General features: G+C 42.8%; 2 protein-coding genes across 17 annotated transcripts in view, besides 5 other annotated features; one reads left to right on the plus strand and one right to left on the minus strand.

Moving 5' to 3' along the window:
• CYREN (cell cycle regulator of NHEJ) overlaps positions 1-22,624 on the minus strand; it is an 80,167-nt gene that overhangs the window by 51,966 nt on the left and 5,577 nt on the right. For 14 of the 16 annotated variants that reach the window (XM_017012591.3, XM_047420824.1, NM_001243754.2 and 11 more), the window contains one exon: positions 21,517-22,603. The exons of the other annotated variants lie outside the window; for them this stretch is intronic. In XM_017012591.3, the coding sequence (XP_016868080.1) occupies positions 22,343-22,603 (261 nt within the window). In that variant the 3' untranslated portion in view covers positions 21,517-22,342. Of the gene's footprint in view, positions 1-21,516; positions 22,604-22,624 lie in introns of those variants that run through there. 16 annotated transcript variants of the gene reach the window in all.
• Positions 3,583-4,082: an enhancer, noted in NCBI's record as "active region_26702". NCBI's record gives its function as "activates an Ori minimal core promoter by ATAC-STARR-seq in GM12878 lymphoblastoid cells {active_cell/tissue: GM12878}" and the evidence as "EXISTENCE:reporter gene assay evidence [ECO:0000049][PMID:35858748]".
• On the plus strand, positions 3,804-21,947 carry TMEM140 (transmembrane protein 140). Its single transcript, NM_018295.5, has 2 exons — positions 3,804-4,002; positions 20,150-21,947. Exon 2 carries the CDS (start codon positions 20,174-20,176, stop codon positions 20,729-20,731), a length of 558 nt encoding a protein of 185 aa, NP_060765.4. The 5' UTR covers positions 3,804-4,002; positions 20,150-20,173; the 3' UTR covers positions 20,732-21,947.
• Positions 7,116-7,325: an enhancer, noted in NCBI's record as "active region_26703". NCBI's record gives its function as "activates an Ori minimal core promoter by ATAC-STARR-seq in GM12878 lymphoblastoid cells {active_cell/tissue: GM12878}" and the evidence as "EXISTENCE:reporter gene assay evidence [ECO:0000049][PMID:35858748]".
• Positions 7,346-7,495: an enhancer, noted in NCBI's record as "active region_26704". NCBI's record gives its function as "activates an Ori minimal core promoter by ATAC-STARR-seq in GM12878 lymphoblastoid cells {active_cell/tissue: GM12878}" and the evidence as "EXISTENCE:reporter gene assay evidence [ECO:0000049][PMID:35858748]".
• Positions 16,828-16,917: an enhancer, noted in NCBI's record as "active region_26705". NCBI's record gives its function as "activates an Ori minimal core promoter by ATAC-STARR-seq in GM12878 lymphoblastoid cells {active_cell/tissue: GM12878}" and the evidence as "EXISTENCE:reporter gene assay evidence [ECO:0000049][PMID:35858748]".
• Positions 16,998-17,047: an enhancer, noted in NCBI's record as "active region_26706". NCBI's record gives its function as "activates an Ori minimal core promoter by ATAC-STARR-seq in GM12878 lymphoblastoid cells {active_cell/tissue: GM12878}" and the evidence as "EXISTENCE:reporter gene assay evidence [ECO:0000049][PMID:35858748]".

A 22,624-nucleotide genomic window follows, 5' to 3' on the forward strand; every position in this document is an offset into this window, starting at 1 on the left:
AAAAAGTAGATGGGTCACTCTAGAAGATGCAAGCCACTGTCACCAACCCCAGGTCCAGAGCAGTGGCTCAGATATGTTGCCCAGAGGAGAGGCATGCCTTAAGAACAGAGAGCTCTGAAGCTGTCCTCAAGTAAACTGACTTGTTTGGAACAGAGTGTGGGGAAGTTCAAGGTTAAGAGTACTGCCAAAAACAATGGAGATTTTGACAGTAAGCAATTAAGAGGAAATGAGTAGCTTGATAAAAGCAACAAGCTCAACCATAGGCCAGCTAGGTTGCCAGAGAACCAGTGAAAGAGACAGTAAGAAATAACCCTCTTGGAGTAAAAACAAAAAAAAGAAAAAGGGAAGATAAAGAATAAGAAAGAGGCCAGGCACAGTGGCTCATGCCTGTAATCCCAGCATTCTGGGAGGCCAAGGCAGGTGAATCCCTTGAGCCCAGGAGTGTTAGACCAGCCTGGGCAACATGGCAAAACCCTATCTGTACCAAAAAATTAATAATAATAATAATATAAAAATTAGCCAGGCATAGTGGCACGCACCTGTAGTCCTAGCTACTTAGGAGGCTGAGGTGGGAGGATCACCTGAGCACAAGAGGTCAAGGCTGCAATAAGCTGTGATCGTGCCACTGCACTCCAGCCTAGGTGACAGAGAGACCCTGTCTCAAAAGAGTAAAAAAAAAAAAAAAAAAAAAAAAAAAAAAAGAAGAGGAACAAAGAAATATTTTAGACCTCCAGTTAAAAATGGCAAACTGGATACACATTCAATTTTGCTCCCTCTCAAAACCACCAAAATAATTTATTTTTTAAGGCATAAAGCTGAAAGGATGACAAGAGGAGACCATTTTGGAAGCCAGGAAGCAGAACAAATTTAAACTTCTCAACAAAACAAGAAAGCCAGACATAATGGGACAAAGCCTTCAAAATTATAAATGAAAATTATTTTTAACCTAAAATTTTATATTCAGTCTAAATTTGATCACATTTGAATAGATCAAGTTAGAATGAAGATATTTTCAGTTTTGTAAGTTCTCAAAAAATTCTCTTCAGTGTACCCATTTCTCAGGAAGTTACTGGAGATTTACTCTCCCAGAACTGAATAAATGGAGAAAGAGAAATGCCTTTGATGCAGGAAGCAGGAGATCCAACCTAGGACAGAAGTAAAGGGAATCCCCAGCATGGTGGTGATGTGAGAAGCCAGGACAACAGCTGTGTGTGGTGTCAAGCCCCAGACTGGGGCAGGTTGGAAGGGTCTGAAAAGCCTTTCTCAGGAAGATATAGAATACTTGATGCATAGAAATTTATTCATAGAAGATTTGATAAAGATTTGAGGGTTGGATTAGTGTTAAGCAATAGAAAACCAAGCAAGCAAACAAACTTTTTAAAAAAAGCAATTATCTTCAGAGAAGATCAAAAGTTATGCAGGATAGGAAAAGTAATCTTAATTTTCTACATGGCTCAGCTGCTGTAAATGGTATTTACAGGCACACCTCGGAGATATGTTGCAGGTTCTGTTCCTGACCACTGCAATAAAGCAAGTATTACAGTAAAGCAAATCACACGAATTTCTGGTTTCCCAGTGCATATAAAAGTCATGTTTATACTATAAGGTAGCCTATTTAGTGTGTGATACTGTTATGTCTAAAAAAACCTAACGGACATACCTTAATTTAGAAATACTTTGTTGCTAAATAATGCTAACAATCATCTGAACCTTTGCCTTCACAACATAAGGCCTAACATTTGGCTTATCTTTGCTTTCACAATGCCTTCCTCACTAAGCTTAATCATTTCTAGTTTCCAATTTTAAATGAAAGACATGTGACACTTCCTTTCACTTAAACACTTACAGGCCATTGTAGGGACATTAATTGGCCTAATTTCAGTATTATTGTGTCTCAGGAATAGGGAGACCTAACGTGAGAGAGAAATGGAGGAACGTCCAGTTGGTGGAGTGGTCAGAACACACGGTCAGAACACCAACACAGAGTTGGTGGAGCGGTCAGAACTGAATTATCAATTAAGTTCACCGTCATATGGGTGCGGTTCATGGCACCCCAAAACAATCACAATAGTAACATCAAAGATCACCATAACCAACATAATAATAATGAAAAAGCTTGAAATGTTGCAAAAGTTACCAAAATGTGACACAGAGACATGAAGTGAGCAAAGGCTATTGAAAAAATGGTGCCAATAGACTTGCTCGATGCAAAAATGCCACAAATCCTCAATTTGTAAAAGATGCAGGATCCACAAAGAGAGATGCACAATAAAATAAAGTATACCTGTGCATATTCCAATATTGTAAACACTGAATATTGATTTAAACAAAACTATAACCAATTTGGATAGAGGAGGAAGAGAGGAAGCATACTTCTGGAACATGCAGTGGGGAAGAAGAAAGCTAAATCTTCACCTTTTATGGTTGGGAGTCAGTAGATTATGCCTGAAACTGAAAAATCAAGAAGTACCAATCCAAGCATGTTATTTAGAGAACTGAGGTAAATGCCTAAAGAATGAGCACAGGTGAAAGTGCTTGCCTCTGAAGAGGAAGAAAGGGAGAGTGTGGGACTGCCGATTTTCGTAAGTTTTGAAAAACTGACTCTTTGAAAACTAGGTACATGATAACCTTGAATAAATTTCATAAATATAAATATGTTTCTATCTCTTCTATATCACTTCACTCACCAGTATTGAGTTTTCAGAGTAACTACTGTATATTAGTATCTAAAAGTTAATTTTCTGTCTTAAAGGCATTAATATGGATGCTAGACTAAATATACAGAAATTCCACTTTTCATAATAATAGCTACCATTACTATGGTCCCAGTATTGTACTAAGCACTTATATTATCTCCAGTCCCCAGAGCAACCATGCAAAGTAGGTACTGTTTCCATTTTACAGATAAGAAATTGATGCTCAAAGAGATTAAATAATTTGCTAGTATGTAGCAGAACTCTCTGATCTCAAAGCCTCTGTTCTTCCTTCCTCCTGGATCCCATCACCTCTTTCTAGAGTTTGCGTTTAAAAGAACTAGGGGCAGGGGGAGGGCAATGTAGCAGTTCAAATAACTCCTCCTTTGGAGGAAGGGCAAGGAAGCAGAAGAGAACCGCTGAAGGATTCAGCAATAGCACTAGGTAGCAGTCTCATGTAACCAAGTTTAACCCACAGTTGAAATTTCCAGTTGGTCATGTGAGCAACGGAAGCAATTTTTAAACTCTGGCCAGGAGCCCCAATGCTTACAAAAATAAAAGCTTTGTTCGGCTCTTATTTTGAAATAAAATAGATGTTCCAGCTGCTCCAACATGGGCCTAAACACTGCAGTGAGAATGCTCAGGACACAAAGTTTTGTGTCCAGAGAAGCCCAGTCATCATTACAAAATTGATCTCTAAAAGGGGTTGGGGGACAGACGGCATAGCTGCTTCCCAAGGAAATGAGTAGGAGGTGACCTGGGTCCTGACTGCCACACTGGCTGGGAGCTTGGACCAGATGATCCTGATGGGTTTCTTCTGAATAAAATTCCGGGTTGTGTTTATCTTGCAGTTTAAATCACTGGGAGCTTCGAGAGTTCTTTGGCTCCTTCCCTTTCTGGAATTATTGTGTGATATAATCAAGACATTTACCTGGCTCTTTAAATCAGTTGGTTTGCCGGCTACAGTGTAGGTAAAGAGTATGTCATAATGGACAATAAAAAGTTGTTTACATACCTCATTTCTGAAAAGTCATGGGCCACTGGCAAGTTAGGAAACGAAAGTGAAATCAGCTGATAGTGACATCAGTCAGAACAAATGTACCAAAGTTCAGAGAGCTGTTTACTAGGCACGACTGCGAAGGCAAGGGGGCACCAGCTCAGGACTGCATCTGCCTGCCATTTCCCTTCCACTCCTCCTTTCTGGAGTCTGACATTAGAAAGCCAGCGAGAAGGAAGATTCAAACAACCAACCCTGATTTCCTGCTTCTCCTTTTCATGAGTGTTCCTGTGGTCTCTGCACCTCCTTTCTGTAAGTACCGATCCTGCAAGCATCACAGCTTACCCAGACGTCTACTACCTTGTAAGACAATTTTGTTTTCTTCTCAGATATTTCATGTTCTGGCAATCCACATAGGGGAACTCACTGGTTGTTCAGTATCTGTGACCCTCCCTCGCTCATGTCTGTATAATCTACATAATCTACCCCCTTTACTCTCTGCTCTCCTTCCTTCCACTCTTCGGCATCAACATGTGTAGCTCTGGCCTCAAAGATGATGAAAGTAAGGCCAGTATAACTGGTTAGAAACGATGCAGGGCTGACTGCACACAGCAGAGTCTTGCACGCAGTGTGTACAAGGACATGGCTGTGGCTTGTGCAATACACTGTTCATCAGAAATAGGTAAACAAAAGCAGGTCACCGACCAACACTAACTAAACCACTATTCAATGGTAGTTACGAACACATCATAAAACTTTAAAATACACACTGAAGATTAATATCAACAGAAAAACTTGTGTTCTTGCCTCAAAGAATGGGACCTAAGAGATGTTTAGATCTTATGTTAGTCATTAGACCAGATTGCTCCTCATGCCCCAGTGGAAATCCATGGTGGTATTTTAGTTCTCTTGATGCATATTTTAAGAGATTTTTTTTAATGTGGGCTTAGTTTCACTAATAACTTCCACTATGCTTCTTCGCCTATAAAATCAAAGGCTCCTTTGAAAGAGGGAAAAGACACATATTTCCTTCTTCCCTCATGATAACTGAAGAGCATTTTTCAGTATCCACTTACCATACCCCATTCCCCAAAATCTCAGGTCTGAGACTCAGTCCATGAGATATTTTTTCAATCTTGCACATATTCCCCTTTCTCAACTTTCTTTCCAGCTTAGTCCCTGCTTTATCTAATTACTAAGGCTGTTTTGAATGCCTGTTTTATAAATTTCTTTTTTTTTCATAAATGTAGCACATAATTCTAAAAATATTTTACTGCAAATAGAGAACAATTGCCTGTAATGTCACCACCCAGAGCTACCACAGCTAACATTAACATTTTCAAATACTTCTTTAGTCTCTTTCTCCTATGCCTCTTTATATGGATGTAGTCACACTATGTAGAGTGATTTTATACCTGCTTTTTCTAAAAGATGCATAGTATTTTATCCTTGATACATCATAGTTTACTTCTGATATTGGACTTTCAAGCTGCTTCCCATTTTGTGCCAAAAGTAATGCTGTGCTGAACATTCCTATGTATAAATTATTGACTGGATTTCTGATTGCTGTCTTAGGATAGATTTATAAAAGTGGGCCAAAGAGATATGACTATTTTTAGGGTTTTTAATGTTTATTGCCAATCTGCCTCCCTGAAAGTTTGTACAAATGTTCACATCCACCATCATTGTGTGAGAATGCCAGTTTAACCATATTTTTGGTATCATCAAGTGTTTTTACCTACAGTGTTGATAGGGAAACTCTGGTTTTTTACTTGGCGTATCTTTAATTACATTAGAAAAGTTACAGAATTTTTTTTCATGTTAGTTAACTACTTTGCATTCTTTGTGAATTATCTCTTCATATTTGTCCATTTTTAATGAGGTGTAATGTTTTTTGACAGTTTGCGTAAACATTTTAAACATTAAGTACATTAATCATTTCATAGTTGTGGTAGATATTTTCCATGCTCATTGACTTTTAATTATATTTATGTTGTTTTTGGTGAATAGAAATCTTTATTTTAGAATAGTTAAACCTGTGCAATTCTTTATTTGTAGTTTCCATTTGCTCTTAAGTTCCAAATTTTATTTTTCACTCATAAATCAAATATATCCTTTTTTCCAGATCATTGATTTTTTTATCTGGTTTTACCTTTCACTCTTGGATCCATGTGAAATTTATTTGGGTATGTGGAGTGAGATGAGGACCTAAAATAGTTTTGTTTCTCTTTTCTAGTTAGCTGATCAATTGCTTCAGTATTAGTTAATGAAGAACCCTTTCAGGACTCAAAACAAATATCTCTTCTGAAGAGAGGCTTTCCCTGACCCTATAATCTAGTCATCACTTCCTCCTGCCAGTTTCTCTCTCTCACTCACCCTGTTTATTTCTTTCCCAAACCTTTTCAAAAATTATAATTACCTTTTAAAAAATACATTTGGTGTTTGCCTTCCCAACTAGAGTACAAGCTCAATGAGAGCAGGCACCTGGTTTGTCCTGTGTGGCACTGATTCCCCAGGGCCTCTGATTCAGGGAGTCATCCAAAATGTGTCACTAACAGAGTTACAAGATGAAATGCTGACCCCACGAGTCGAAGTGGGTGGCAAATTGCCTTTGTAATTGCGGAAGAGAGGGCTGGTGCGGGAAAACTAACCATTGACAGCCAAAGGCAGTCACCAGTTTCTGGTACTACTGATTCTCAAACTCTGAATCTTGTGAATCTTGGCCGCCCACAAACTGGACCGTGGAGTCCTGCCAACAGAAACCAAATGAGATTAGCTGGACGTGGTGGCAGGAGGCTGAGGCAGGTGAATTTCTTGAACCCGGGAGGCAGAGATTGCAGTGAGCCAAGATGGTGCCACTGCATTCCACCCTGGGTGACAGAGCAAGACTGTCTCAAACAAACAAACAAATTAAGATGGCTCATTTGTAGACATTTTCTCATTTTTAAGGATTTTCTTCTCCCTCTAAACTTTTTGTAATCTTTGTTCCCACTTGGATTATCTGCTAGTGAGAGCTAATAGTCAACAAAACAATTGCACAAATAGCAAGTTAATATTAATGGAACCATTTAAACAGCTATCTCAATGGCTTGTCATCTGGGTGCCTGGACTCATGCTTCTGACTTTATGTTATAATCTCATGGTATAGTCCTATTTTGTCTGATAAAGCTGTTTTATTTACATGGAATAATTAAGTAAATCAAAACATCACAGCATTCATTAAAAACTTGGTGGTTGGGATGGCTGTCCACAGAAAACACTGGTGAAATCCAGGAGCTGCCACCACCTACACACTGTTGAAAAACACTGCAGTAGCCCTGTTTTGAAAAGAATTAGAACCTGGACTCATGTTTCTACCAAAGGAAATATGACACATTTCCCTTTCTTCTTCCCTTTTTATTTTTGTGACAGCCACACCTAAACCATGAGCACACTGATCTTCAATGTGTTCCACCAGAAATATTTTAGCCAGGACTGGTGGCCTCTGACAAGTAAACCTGCGCCCTTGTTCTATGCCCTGGCAAGCTCTGTTGCCCCGGCTTTATTCTGCTAACATTTTCTTCCCAGTTCTCCTCTCTCCATTCAGGCGACACACCCAACCATGTCTACCTGACTCTCCGTCAATTCCCGTTTCTCCCACTGAGCTATTGCTTCAGCATCATGACCAGAGCAGACACATTGACCCAGTTTGTGTCAGGCCCCAAGCCCTCTATATGTGAGTGAACTTCCTTCAGTCTCACAACAGCCCATGAGGAACGTGACAACTGATGCATTACAGATGAGGATGTGAGGCTCAGGCTGGCTATGTAACTTGCCCAAGGTCATATGACTAGTGAGTGACAGAACGACGACATGCTCCCAGGTCATCTGGCTCTAAAACCCATGCTCCTTACCACCACACTGTGCTACCTCTCAACAGGCAGCTGCATCCTGGAGTCATCACAACCAAACATAAATGAGACCAGCTTCCTAGAGTTCATCTCTGGGAATGAACCCTGGCACTATTTGTCTTCCTAGAATCTCACCACTGTCAGGCTGGTAGCCTGGGCTTAACTTCTCTGAGCCTCAGTTTTCTCTCTATCGTAGTAATAATTTAAATAATACTTACCAGGTCATGTTCTAAATGCCATGCACAAATTACTTCATTTAATTTCCATAACATCTACAAAATAAGTTATATAATTAAAGCCATTTTACAGATGAAAAATCTAGGCAGAAGGATGTTAAGTAACTAAGGTCACACAGCTGGTGAATGGAAGAGCAGAGTCTTGAACCCAGAAGCCATAGCTTCAAGGTCCATGCTCAGAACCAGTATTCCACACTGTCTTCACTACGTCAAATGGGAACAGTGATAATAACATCCACACAAGGGTGTTGTGAAGATTAAATGAGTTAATGCACGTAAAGGGCCAGGCCCCCAGTTAGAGGTAGATCCTCATGGTGATTAACAATGCAGCCTGACAGGCTCCATCATTCACTGGCTGTGTGAACTTGGGCAAGTTACTGACCCTTACTAGGCCTGTCTTCTTCTCTGGAAAATGAAGATGAAAACAGTAACTCTACCCTACATGGTTGTAAGAAATTAATAAGACAATACCTGTTAAGTGCTTAGCACAGGGCCTGGCATATAGTAAATTCTCAAGAGATTTTGAGGTCTGTTTTTAATTATTAATAAGTTCTCACTAAAGTTAGATTCCTTCTCAGACACCTTCCACTGATCAAAGAGTCTCATCAAAGCAAGTTCTTCCCTCCCTGGTCCCCTTTGGCTTTCTGAAATCATTAATTAAAAGAAAGGCCCTAGGAACCTAATGGCTTACCTGTTTTTTCTTTTAATATTCTACTCCGCAAAATTTGCAAAGTGTGTAATGTTTAACAGCAGCAAAATTAAAACATGTAAGTTCCATGCGGCAGTCCTCAAGGCCATGATAGCAACTGCTGCTGGTGGTGCCCGATGGGGAAGGGGCTGCCAAACTATGCATCTGACCAAGGACTAATATCCAGAATCTACAAGAACACAAACAACTCAACAAGAAAAAACAATCCCATTAAAAAGTGGGTAAAGGACATAAACAGACATTTTCCAAAGGAAGACATACAAGTGGCCAAGAAACATATGAAAAATGCTCAACATCACTAATCACCAGATAAATGCAAATTAAAACCACAATGAGATACTATCTTACACCAGTCAGAATGACCATTATTAAAAAGTCTAGGCAGGGCATGGTGGCTCATGCCTGTAATCTCAGCACCTTCAGAGGCCAAGGTGGGCAGATCACGAGATCAGGAGATCGAGACCATCCTGGCCAACATGGTGAAACCCTGTCTCTACTAAAAATACAAAAATTAGCTGGGCATGGTGTCACGCACCTGTAGTCCTAGCTACTCGGGAGGCTGAGGCAGAAGAATTGCTTGAACCTGGGAGGCAGAGGTTGCAGTGAGCTGAGATCATGCCACTGCACTCCAGCCTGGGCAACACAGCAAGACTCCATCTCCACAAAAAAAAAAAAAAAAAAAAGTCTAAAAACTCTAAAAACAGCAGATGTCGTCAAGGATGTGGAGAAAAGGGAATGCTTATACATTGTTGGTGGGAATGTAAATTAATACAACTTTTAGGGAAAACAGTATGGAGATTTCTCAAAGAACTGAAAAACCACGCAATCCAGCAACCTGGGGTATCATATTTATTGATTTGCATATGTTGAACCATCCTTGCATCCCTGCAATAAATCCCATCTGATCATAGTGTATTATCTTTTTGATGTGCCATTGGATTTGATTTACTAGTATTTTGTTGAGGATTTTTGCATCTACGTTCACAGGGATATTGGTCTGTGTTTTCATTTTCTGCTGTGTCCTTGTCTGGTTTTTAGTATCAGGGTGACCCTGGCCTCGGAGAATCAGTTAGGGAGAATTCCTTTCTCCTTGATTTTTTAATAGTTTCAGGATTATTGGTATTAGTTTTTCTTTGTATGTTTGGTAGAATTTGGCTGTGAATACATCTAGTCTTAAGCTTTCTTGGGAGTTTTTTATTATTGATTCAATCTCACTACTCATTATTGGTCTGTTTAGAAGTTCTATTTCTTCCTGGTTCAATCTTGGGGGATTTTGTGTTTCCAGGGATGTATCTATTTCCTCTAGTTTTTCTAGTTTGTGAGCATGCAGTTGTTCATAATAGTCCTTGATGATCTTTTGCATTTCTATGGTATCAGTTGTAATGTCTTTTTCATTTCTGATTGTGTTTATTTGGATCTTCTTTCTTCTTGGTTAATCTAGCTAGTGGTTTATCAATTTTGTCTATCTTTTCAAATAATCAGCTTTTACTTTCATTGATCCCAAGAACTAATATATGAACTTTTAGTTTCATTGATCCTTTGTAAATTTTTTGTCCCTGTTTCATTTAGTTCTGCTCTGATCTTTATTTTTTCTTTTCTGCTAACTTTGGATTTGGTTTGTTCCTTTTCTAATTCCTTGAGGTGCAATGTTAGGTTGTTAATTTGTGATCTTTCTACTTTTTTGATGTAGGCATTTAATGCTATAAACTTCCCTCTTAGCACTTCTTTTGCTGTAACCTGCAGGATTTAGTACAATGTGTTTTTGCATTCATTTCAAAGATGTTTTTAATTTGTCTTAATTTCTTCATTGACCCAGTAGTTGTTCAGGAGCATGCTGTTTAATTTCCATTATCTGTATAGTTTCCAAAGTTCCTCTTGGTATTGATTTCTAGTTTTATTCCACTGTGGTCTGAGAAGATACTTGATATAATTTCAATTTTTAAAAAGTTTGTTAAAACTTCTTTTGTGGCCTTACATGTGATCTATCTTGGAGAATGTTCCATGTGCTGACAAAAATAATGTATATTCTGTAGTTGTTGGGTAGAATGTTTTATAAGTCCATTTGGTCTAAAGTTCAATTTAAGTACAATGTTTCTTTGTTAATTTTCTGTCCCAATGATCTGTCTAGTGTTGTGAGTGGAGTGTTAAAAGTCCCCTACAGTTATTGTATTGCTGTCTACCTCTTTCTTTAGTGATATTTGTTTTGTTAATCTGGGTGCTTCAATGTTGGGTACATATATATTTAGGACTATTATATCGTCTTGCTGAATTTATCCCTACATCATTATACAATGACCTTATCTTTTTTCTTACTATTTTTAATTTAAAGTCATCTGTTTTATCAGATATAAGTATAGCTATGCCTGCTTGCTTTTGGTTTATAATTACATGGAATATCTTTTTCCACCCCTTTGTTTTCAGTCTATATGTCTTTATGGGTAAGGTTAGTTTCTTGTAAGCAGCATGGATCATGTTTTTTCATCCACTCTGCCAATCTGTATCTTTTAAGTGGAGCATTTAATCCATTTACATTCAAGGTTAATATGGATCTGTGAGACTTTGTTTCTGTTATATTGTTTATTGTTTTCAGGTTGTTTTATAGACTCTTTGTCTTTGCCTTTTTGACTTTGTGTTTTGATGAAACTCTGTCATGTTGCCATTTGATTCCTTTCTCTTCCTTTGTATGATTGTTTTATACAAACTATGAGTTTTATACTTCTGTATGTTTTTGTGATGGTGAATATCAACCTTTTGGCTGGGCATCGTGGCTCATGCCTTTAATCCCAGTGCTTTGGGATGCTAGGCAGGGGGATTAATTGATGCCAGGCAGGGGCATTAATTGATGGAAGGTGGTCAAGACCAACCGGGGCAAAATAGCAAGATCTTGTCTCTACAAAAAAATTAAAAATTAACCGGGCATGGTGGCACATGTCTGTATTTCTAGCTACTCAAAAGGCTGAGGCAGGAAGATTGCTTGAGCCCACGAGGTCAAGGCTGCAATGAACTGTGATTGCACTACTGTATTCCAGGTTGAGTGACAAAGCAAGACCCTCTATCAAAAATAATTAATTAAAAACACCATTCATTTCAGTGTTTAAGATCCTTTTGAGCATTTCCTGTAGTACCAGTCTAGTGGTGACAAATTCCCTCAGCATTTGCTTGTATGGGAAGGACTTTATTTCTCCTTTTATAAAGCTTATTCTGGCAGGATACAAAATTCTTGGCTGACAGACACACTGTTTTTTTTTTTCCCTTTAGCACTTTGAAAATGCCATCCCATTGTTTTCTGGCATGTAAGAATTCTGCTGAAAAGTCCTCAATTGGTCTGATGAGATTTGGGATTTCCTTTATAGGTGACTAGTCACTTTTGCTAATTTTAAAATTCTTTCTTTCACTTGACTTCAGACATTTTGAATATGCCATGGTGAGGTCCTTTTGCAATGTATTTTCCTGGGGATCACTGGGCCTCCTGTATCTGGATGTCTATTTCTTTAAATATGTTTTCTAAACTTTCTAATCTCTCTTCCCCCTCAGAAATACCAATAATTCATAAGTTCAGTTGCTTCTTGCAGTCCCAGACATCTCAAAGGCTTTATTCATTCTTTTTTATCCTTTTTTCCTCATTTTTGTCTGACTGGATTATTTCAAAAGTCCTGTCTTCGAGTTCTGAGATTCTTTCTTCTGCTTGGTGTAGTCTACTGTTGAAGTTTTTGAGCATATGGTGTATTTCCTTCAATGAATTTTTTAGTTCCAGAATTTCTGCTTGTTTTTATTTAAGATGTCTATCTCCTTGATAAATTTCTCATTTATATCCTGGATTAATTTTCTGATTTCTTTGTATTAGTTTTCAGATTTCTCTTGCACTTCATTGAGCTTCTTTAAAATCAATATTTTGAATTCTTTATCTAGCATTTTGAAGAATTCTCTTTGATTGGGATCTGCTGCTGCTGGACAGCTGTTGTGGTTCTTTGATGATTGTTACGGTTTGACTGTGTCCCCACCCAAATCTCAACTTGAATTGTAGCTCCCATAATTCCCACATGTTGTGAGAGGGGACGCCAGGGGAGGTAACTGAATCATGGGGGCTGGTCTTTCCCATGCTATTCTCGTGATAGTGAATAAGTCTCATGAGAACCGATGGGTTCATCAGGGTTTCTGCTTTTGCTTCCTCCTCATTTTCTCTTGCCACCACCATATAAGAAGTGTGTTTCACCTCCTGCCAGGATTCTGAGGCCTCCCTAGCCATGTGGAACTGTAAGTCCAATTAAACCTCTTTTTCTTCCCAGTCTCAGGTATGTCTTTATCAGCAGTGTGAAAATGGACTAATACAATGGTGTCATGTTTCTCTGCTTTTACATGTTTCCTGTATCCTTCCATTGATTTCTTTGCGTCTGGTGTAGCAGTTGCTTGTTCCAATTTTTTGAAATTGCTTTTATAAGGGAGAATTTTTTCCTGAGGATATATGCATGTTGTTAAGATGCTTTGACTTTGATTTTGGATGCCTGCAGTCGTGTGATCTTTCTATGACTTCTTCGGCATAGGGTCAGTGTTCTCTGTGATTTCCTCAGTGGGATAGAGTATGGTAATTAGCTGAGACTAAGTCCCCAGAAGTTTAGCTGGGACTTGGATGCCAACTGAGCAGCCTTTGGACCCCAGTGGTGGCAACAGTGGGGTAAGTGTGCCCTTTTTAGGCCCCACAGCAGCTTACGCTGCTCTGGTGGTTAGTGGGTCTTGGAGGGCTGATTCTTGGGCCTCCACATGGCTTGCTTAGAAGCTAGTAGTGGGAGTGGTGAGCCCAGTGTGTGGGCATGATCTCTAGCCCCTGAGCAGGTGGTGTCATGTGAGTGATGGCAGTAGCACTGTTGAAGCAGCCAACTGGGATCCAAGCAGTCCATGTTGGTGTTGCTGGAAGCTGTGATGGGTTGGGTGAGCTACTCCCCAGTCTCACAGCCACCTGTAGCAGGGTGGTGGGCACTGTTCTAAGTGTGCTTAGGAGAGCTTGGTCTTCCCTGTCCCTTTCCTACCAGGGTGGCAGCTGCAGCCACATTGCCTGATTGTTAATTCAGACTGGTTATGAATCAGCATTAAACTCTCAAAATGGTGCCAGCTGTGGGCTTGTGAACAGAGAAGGTGGGGCCCCTATCAGGTGAGCAGCATGGTCAAGAAGCTGTAGGGAGGGTGGTCTACTTGAGTCTCGGTCTCACAGCAACCCGTAGCAGGCACTGGGTATTGTCCTAGGTATGTGCGGGAGAGCATAGATTCCTTGTTTCTCCTTGACTGGGCAGCAGCTTCAGCCACATCAAGTTGAACTCAGCAAGAAGGTGGGGCACAGCCCAGCATTAAACTCTCAAAATGGCACCTTGGGCCTGTGACCAGGAGGGCAGGGGTCCCTCCAGGCAGGCAGCATGGGCAAGAAGCTGTAGGGAAGGCAGTCTGCTCACATTTCAGTCTCAACAGCAGCATGTTGCAGAGCAGTGGGTATTGACCTAGATGTGCATAGGACAGCCTGATTTCCCTGTTAATCCTTGGCTGGGTGGCAGCTACAGCTGCACCAGCCCAATCTCAGTTCCAGGGAGGGGTGCTGCCCAACATTAAACTCTCAAAATAGCACCTGGAGCCTGAGACCAGAGAGGGAGGAGCACCTCACAAGTAAGCAGCATTGGCAACAAGCTGTGGAACACACAGGATGGCCACATCTCGGTCTCACAGCAGCCCATGGCAGGGCAGGGGGTCTTGTCCTAGATATGTGTAGGATGGCCTGATTTCCCTATCCTTCCTTAGCCAAGAGGCAGCTACAGCCTCATCAGCCCAAACTCAGGCTGGGAGGGGAATGCAGCCCAGCATTAAACTCTCAAAATGCTACCTTGGGCCTGGGATCAGAGAGTGTCCCTCCCAGACAAGCAGTGTGGAAAAGAAGCTGTGGGGAGGGGTGTCTACTCACATCTGTCTCAATAGCAGCCCACAGCAGGGCAGCAGACCCTCCCAGGGGTGCATGGGAGCACCTGCTCTCCCGTCTCCCTCCTTGAAGCAGCTCGGCAGCAAGAGCCATGTCTGTAGAGTCCCAGTATCTAGGCTCTCAAAATGGCACCCTGCTGAGGCTGCTCCAGGTTCAGATGCATGTGAGATTTTGTATTGGTTTCCTTTCTGGAGCAATGCCTCTGTGCAATGTTTAGGCAGCTCCGAATGTCAGGCCCAGGCCCTGGCCCAGTGGGTCGAGGTTTCCTTCCGTGGCCAAGATTATAAAAGTTTGTTTTGGAGCCCTAGGGGGTTCTCTCTTACTGTTTCCCCACATCAGGAGCCTCTCCCGACTCTCAGTCGGTTCCCAGCTGGGCAAGCTGCCTCGAATCCTCTCCTTACTTCTCATGTTTCCCATATCTTTTCTGGTTTATCCTAGCATTCTCTCCTAGACAATCTGTTCAAAATGGATCCACTTACTATTCTGGTTTCTCACCATGGTGGAGGCACATACTACCTGTGTTTAGATAGCCATCTTGATCCTTTCGAAAATTTACTCTTTCAATAAGAACCTGACAAATACATAATTTAGAATTAAATGATACAATATTTGTGTCTCTTTCAGCCGCCATCCCATTCTCCCTTATTAGTATGAAAATGTTAGAGGTGCTTAAACCAACAAAAAAGCTGCCTTAAATTAATCTCCTGAGAATACTTTCCTTCTATTTCCCTAACTAGGAATTTGTATCGCCTTTAAGCAGAAATCATCTCCCTCCTAAGGCCCTGCTCAGGCTGTAACTCTTGAGTGACAGTGGTCAAGTTACATGCTGACCTGGAATCTAAATCTGCATCTTGTTCCAGAGGACCTAGTGCAGCAAAGCATTATACTTTACTGTCACAACTAAGATGGCAAAAGGCTAACAGCCTTTATTTTTAAAGGGTTCATACAGACCAACAAACAAAAACTGAAACTCAAAATTATTTTTAAAATAGCAAAAGAACTGACAGCACTTCACAAAAGAAGAAATACAGATGGTCAACAAACACTTGAAAATGTTAAACTTTACTTATTATGAAGAAAAACTATCAATGATTCATCATTTGTCATTATCAAAGAATAAAAGACTCAAGAATATGCAATACTGGGGAGGATGGGATGAGACAGGCACTCTCTGAAACTGCTGGTGGAAACATAAGTTGATTCACAAAAATATTCACCATAGCATTCATAGCATTATAAAATAATGTTACAAAGCATCTATGTATAAACTATAAACTATGATACAGCTATATGCAGCCCTTAATGTTTAGGAACCATTTCTAGTTCACATAGAATGATGTTCACAAAGTGGGATACAAACATATATATTTATGTAATCCCAACAGTGTAAAACAATAGTGTAAAAAGAAGTGTGCTGTTCAGAGTGGTTATTTCTACGACCTGAAGTATAGATGACTTTTAGTCTTTTCTCTGCACTTTCATGTATTTTCTAGTTTCCTACAATCAGCATGTGTTATTATAAACAGGAAAAGGTTTATCTAAAAATGGCCACAGTGACTCAGCAGTCTCCCCTTTGCCCTCTGAAGGAAACACTGGCTTATCATTAAAGGACATTTAAAAGCTCATTGTGGTGGAAGTGTCATTACCAGGATTGTTTAAGAAAAGAAAAACAAAAACCAGGGAAGGCCCATGGGGAAGTAGAGAAGAGTGTCATGGGGTTTCCAACCAAAGATCCATATGCTGTCACTGCAAAATGTTTAGGGAAAGAAGCGAGGACTGACTTCCACCCTCTCCATACACAAGTTCCTGAATTCTGTCCATAGTTCAACAGAAAGCATGGATGGGCCATGCCAGCACTGTGCTGAGCATGCATACGACATTAAACACAACCCTCCCTCAGGCAGCTCTGCTGTCCTAAGATGTGTAACCAGGATTCGTACATGAAAGAACTCAGGGAGCCTATGTAGCATTTTCATTCGCTCATTTAAAAAAAAAAAACAAAAAAAAGAGCCCCTACTGTGTATCAAAATAACAAAACTGAAGACTGTTCCTCAGAGACATGACACTAGAGTGGAGAATAAATCCTAATTTATAGCTAAACCAGAGTGTGGGCTGAAGGAGCCCAGGAATGCTCTTGCTGCATGGATCAGATTTAGAGAAGCAGAAAGTAGAGTAGGACTCTAGGAGCTGGGGGGTGGCTGAGGATGGGCAGATGGGAATGTATTCATACACAGCCTGAGCAGCTGAGCAGGTGCTGGACTGCACAAGGCAAGAGGGGAAGCTGGGCCTCACCAGAGAATTCCAAGTTCAAGTTCCAAGTCGCACCAGATGATGGCGAGCCTCATAAGAGCTGGGACTGAATATAAAAAGGTGAGAGGCCACCACCTTCTCCACATGCCTGGTCCTGGGCTTCTTGGCTCGTTTTGTTTTGCTCTACATTAAAAGGTCAGTTGAGAGAAAATGAGGAAGTCAAAACAAAGGCTCCTGGCGTCTGGCAGGAGCTGCCGCAAGGTGGCTGATGCAATCTCCCCGAGGAGCCACATTAATTTTTAAAAAGGCAGCTGTTTTCAAAGCAAAACGTTTAATAATTTTTTTTGGAACCCCAGTGTAACAGAATTCAAATGGGAAAAGTGAGAGGGAGTGTTTAAACAAAGGCATCCCCAAGTCCCTTCCCAGTTGGTCCTGAACAATGGAGGAGGTCAAACCTTCTTTTCCACAGCATGATGGTATAAATCAGGGAAGTCCTGGAAATCTATTCCACACCCTAAAATACCCAAACCCATTAAAAGCACAGATATAGGCTTTTACAAACATTTACTAAATAAGCAAAACCATACAAAATATGTTCCCGTCGGCAATTTTTCCCATACCATGGACTCAAATGGTTAAAACTCCTTATCATCCCAGACTAATGCCACCTTTTCAATTCCCAATAATTCCTTCCGTAACAAGCATCATTGCTCCAAGAATCTCTCAACTACATTCAAACCCGAGTCTTCAGACCCTTGGCCCTCTGGGACCTCCAGAGCCTTTGACAGTGCCACCCAAGGCAGCAGCCAGGGCTTCTGCTGGGACAGCCCCTCACTCCTCCACTCTGACTGTCCCCACTGGGCTTCTCTGGAGCAGAAGCCACGGGCAGAACTGGGCAGACTGCCCAGTGCTGCTGAGTCCAGAGAAGCGGCATCTGAGGGGAGGCGGTGGCAGTGTGGACCCCACCCTTACTGTATTCACAGGCCCCAGCTCTCCATCAGCCAGCCTGCCCAGGTCTCTGCCAAAGAAGTCGCTGGTCAATCTTCATTCTCATTTTTGGCATACACCTAGGTCCTTTGAATGGAGCTGCCCTCTCTCTCAGCCTGTTCCATGTTCTTTATTTTCCCCACTTGGTCCCTTTCTGTAACAAATGCAGTGTGTAGAATGAGACAGACCTTCCAGTCAGCTCTGGGAAAGAGGAGGGAGCTGTTCCCCCAGAGGGGTCCCCTCAGAAACTGATCATCAGGGCTGTGTAGCCTTCAGGTCCCTTCCCAGGGCCACGACTCATTTTGCTGCTGAACACCACCTGGGACTCCCTGCTGGGGCTTCCAGGAGGCCATTTGGTATCATGGCCCCAGTACCTTGTGCCTCACAAAGCTTGAAGCTCTGTGTTCCTAGTCACTTCCTGGTGAATGCTGTTGTATTAGTCCATTTTCATACTGCTATGAAGAGATACCCAGTAATTTGAAAAGAAAAAGAGGTTTAATGGACTCATAGTTCCACATGGTTAGGGAGGCCTCACAATCATGGTGAAAGGCAAAGGAAGAGCAAAAGCACATCTTACATGGCAGCAGGCAAGAGAACATGTGCAGGGGAAATGCCCTTTATAAAACCATCAGATATCATGAGACTCACTACCATGAGTACAGTATGGGGGAAACCCACCCCCATGATCCAATTACCTCCCACTGGGTCCCTCCCACAATGTGGGGATTATGGGAGCTATAATTCAAGATGAGATTTGGGTAGGGACACAGCCAAACCATATCAGCCGAAACTTATCCCATACTGGAAAATACACATATGTAAAATACAGTGTGCAGACCACTGTTTCAGAGACCAACTGGACAAAGCCCTTCTGATTTAAAACGGAGTGAAAAGAATTTTTTAAAAGAGTATAACAAAGTGGGCACTTTTATATACAATTAGAGGGACTATGATTAGCAAATTTTCTGTAGGCCAGTTAGGCAGTATTTAGCAAGATCACTAAAAGATATTTCTACCCTTGATCCAATGATTGCACTTATAGGTAGATCACCTGAGAAAAATCAGATTCCAAACACGATTCACACAGCGTCTTCACTTATAATGGTGAAAAGTGGAAACAATTTGTCTAGTAATAGTGTAATGGATGATCCCACATGAACTATTGCACAGCCATTGATCATGTTTTTGAAGAATATTTAACAGCTTTGAAAAATGTTTACTAAATCTAGTGAAAAAACATTACATTCAACATCATGATTATGTAAAAATACATCAGTACAGGAAGAAAATATTGGTAGAATATTAACAGTGGTTTTATGTGTATGATGGGATAAAAGGTTATCTTTTTTATTATTATTTTTAAAATATCTTCTGGCCAGGCATGGTGGCTCATGCCTGTAATCCCAGCACTTTGGGAGGCCAAGGTGGGTGGATCATTTGAGGTCAGGAGTTCAATCAAGACCAGCCTGGCCAACATGGTGAAACCCATCTCTACCAAAAATACAAAAATTAGCCAGGCATGGTGGCGGGTGCCTGTAGTCCCAGCTACTCGGGAGGCTGAGGCAGGAGACTTGCTTGACCCCGGGAGGCAGAGATTGCAGTGAGCCAAGATCGCACCACTGCACTCCAGCCTGGGTGACAGAGTGAGGCTCCATCTCAAAAACAAACAAACAAACAAAAACGTCTAAGTTTTCTATAATTCATACTACCATTGTCAGGAAAAAATATGTATTAGTTTTTAAAGTAATGAGTATATGATGGGATTTCATCACCAGGTGACATCTTGTCTTGACCCAGTAATGAGTTCCCAGAGCACTGCAGGTAAAATCAGAGTGGGTGTGTCAGTGGTCCTTGACCCAGGCTCACCTTCGAATGAGCTTCAGAGCTTCAGAAACACACCAGTGCCCAGCCCGAAGCACATAAGTTGAGCTCTGATTGATCTGTGGCCCAGCAATGGGTAGTTCTTACAGCTCCCCAGGTGGTTGTCTTGGCAGCTGTGGTGAAAACCAATAGCTTCCTCCACCTTCAGGTCTCCATTAAGGGTGGGCCTTGCCCTTCACCTCAGTCAAAACCCACCTTCAAAAAAGATCTGAGAAATCCCCTCACTAATGTTTCCAATGGCTTGTTGTATTTGGACTGGAGCAAAGCCTTTGGCTAAAGAGCACTTCACTCAGTTTAAGATGTTTCACACTTTCAAAGCTGCTTGGGAGAGACTTTTCCTCCTGACCTCAAATCAGAGGGCAGCTAATGACTTATTTGCAAATAGGTCCTGGCAGGAGGTTACCTCAGACTTCTGGTCCTTGGTGGAGGGCAGGGTAGGAGGGAAACTTGCCATGAGTTTGTAAGAAATGCCAAAGGGAGAACATGAGCTTGTCTGGACACAGGGAACAAGCAAGGGAGAGATGGACTGACTGCTGTGACTTCCCCGCAGGTCCCCCGGCAGAGGGCAGTAGAGATGGCCGGCCCAAGGCCTCGGTGGCGCGACCAGCTGCTGTTCATGAGCATCATAGTCCTCGTGATTGTGGTCATCTGCCTGATGTTTTACGCTCTTCTCTGGGAGGCTGGCAACCTCACTGACCTGCCCAACCTGAGAATCGGCTTCTATAACTTCTGCCTGTGGAATGAGGACACCAGCACCCTACAGTGTCACCAGTTCCCTGAGCTGGAAGCCCTGGGGGTGCCTCGGGTTGGCCTGGGCCTGGCCAGGCTTGGCGTGTACGGGTCCCTGGTCCTCACCCTCTTTGCCCCCCAGCCTCTCCTCCTAGCCCAGTGCAACAGTGATGAGAGAGCGTGGCGGCTGGCAGTGGGCTTCCTGGCTGTGTCCTCTGTGCTGCTGGCAGGCGGCCTGGGCCTCTTCCTCTCCTATGTGTGGAAGTGGGTCAGGCTCTCCCTCCCGGGGCCTGGGTTTCTAGCTCTGGGCAGCGCCCAGGCCTTACTCATCCTCTTGCTTATAGCCATGGCTGTGTTCCCTCTGAGGGCTGAGAGGGCTGAGAGCAAGCTTGAGAGCTGCTAAAGGCTTACGTGATTGCAAGGGTTCAGTTCCAACCATGGTCAGAGGTGGCACATCTGCTCAGCCATCTCATTTTACAGCTAACGCTGATCTCCAGCTCCAGCGATGGAACCCACTACAGAGGAGGTGGGGCCCCTGTGTCAAAGAGGCCGAGGGGCAGCAAGGGCAGCCAGGGCACCTGTGACTTCTTAGTACAAGATTGTCTGTCCTTCAGGACTTCCAAGGCTCCCAAAGACTCCCTAAACCATGCAGCTCATTGTCACACCAATTCCTGCTTTAATTAATGGATCTGAGCAAATCTTCCTCTAGCTTCAGGAGGGTGGGGAGGGAGTGATTGCTGTCATGGGGCCAGACTTCCAGGCTGATTTGCCAAATGCCAAAATGAAACCTAGCAAAGAACTTACGGCAACAAACGAGGACATTAAAAGAGCGAGCACCTCAGTGTCTCTGGGGACATGGTTAAGGAGCTTCCACTCAGCCCACCATAGTGAGTGGGCCGCCATAAGCCATCACTGGAACTCCAACCCCAGAGGTCCAGGAGTGATCTCTGAGTGACTCAACAAAGACAGGACACATGGGGTACAAAGACAAGGCTTGACTGCTTCAAAGCTTCCCTGGACCTGAAGCCAGACAGGGCAGAGGCGTCCGCTGACAAATCACTCCCATGATGAGACCCTGGAGGACTCCAAATCCTCGCTGTGAACAGGACTGGACGGCTGCACACAAACAAACGCTGCCACCCTCCACTTCCCAACCCAGAACTTGGAAAGACATTAGCACAACTTACGCATTGGGGAATTGTGTGTATTTTCTAGCACTTGTGTATTGGAAAACCTGTATGGCAGTGATTTATTCATATATTCCTGTCCAAAGCCACACTGAAAACAGAGGCAGAGACATGTACTCTGGTGTGATCTCTTGTCCTCAGTGTCTCTTCTGGGCTCCTGTCCCTCTTGCTTTATAGCTAGCTGCCCGGGGACCAAGGTACAGGTGAAAGCAAGGTAGCAGCTTGCGGGAGGAGGCCTGTCTGGCTTACCAGTCTATACACTGTGGCCTCAACCTCCCAGACAGGGCAGAGAACTGTGGGCAGCTCGTTTGCTTTCTAGGCTGGCTGGAGAGGTGGGAGCTCATTGATAGACTCATGATGGAAACTATTTTTGAAACAGGCTTCCTCCTTCAGGAGAGATCATGCGGACTAAACTGTAGCAATTCCAGTGCACCTGGCAGTGATCCTTTTCTTTGCAAAGTACTGTCTCTTTGGTTCCAGTAAGTTGGACCACCACATGACATCATTTTCCCTGGAACCTGGTCACTGACTAACACAGACAATTGGGACTCCAGAGCCTCAAGAGCCAGGAGAGGGCACAGTACATACAGAGGGAGTCAAATGGGATCTCATTTTGAGTCCTGCCTTCCGCACACTCAGAACGGCAGCCCCAAGGCCCGGAGTGTCCAGGGGCTTCTGGCCTGAGGTGAATCTGCCAGGCCCAAGAAGGCACAAAGGTAGGAGCACAGAGAGCCCCATTCCCACAGGCGGGCGGCCCAGCAGCACCAGTGGAAGCTCAGCTGTCCTCCAGCTGCTCTCGGCAGACAGTTCAGTGCACAGTTTATGCCCTAGCTGAAAAAGATCTCCCGGACGTATTTCAGCACATCCTCTTCCTCCTCCTCCTCAGGGCTCCTGCTACAGGCAGAGCTGGAACCCCCCGGCCTCTGGGAAGGGCTGAGGCCTGGAGCCAGTGCCTGTTTCCCACTGTCCTCTTCCTCACTGCTGCTCCCAGAACTTGTGTGAGGCGACACGGAGCAGGGAGGGGAGTGCTCTGGGTTATCAGCCCCCGCCAGGGCCGGCTGCTCGCAGGCCTTTTCCTGTTTGCGGCTCTGTGGAGTACGGGAAAACGC

This window comes from Homo sapiens, chromosome 7 (genome assembly GCF_000001405.40).
Source record: "Homo sapiens chromosome 7, GRCh38.p14 Primary Assembly".
In the NCBI taxonomy this organism is placed as follows: domain Eukaryota; kingdom Metazoa; phylum Chordata; class Mammalia; order Primates; family Hominidae; genus Homo; species Homo sapiens.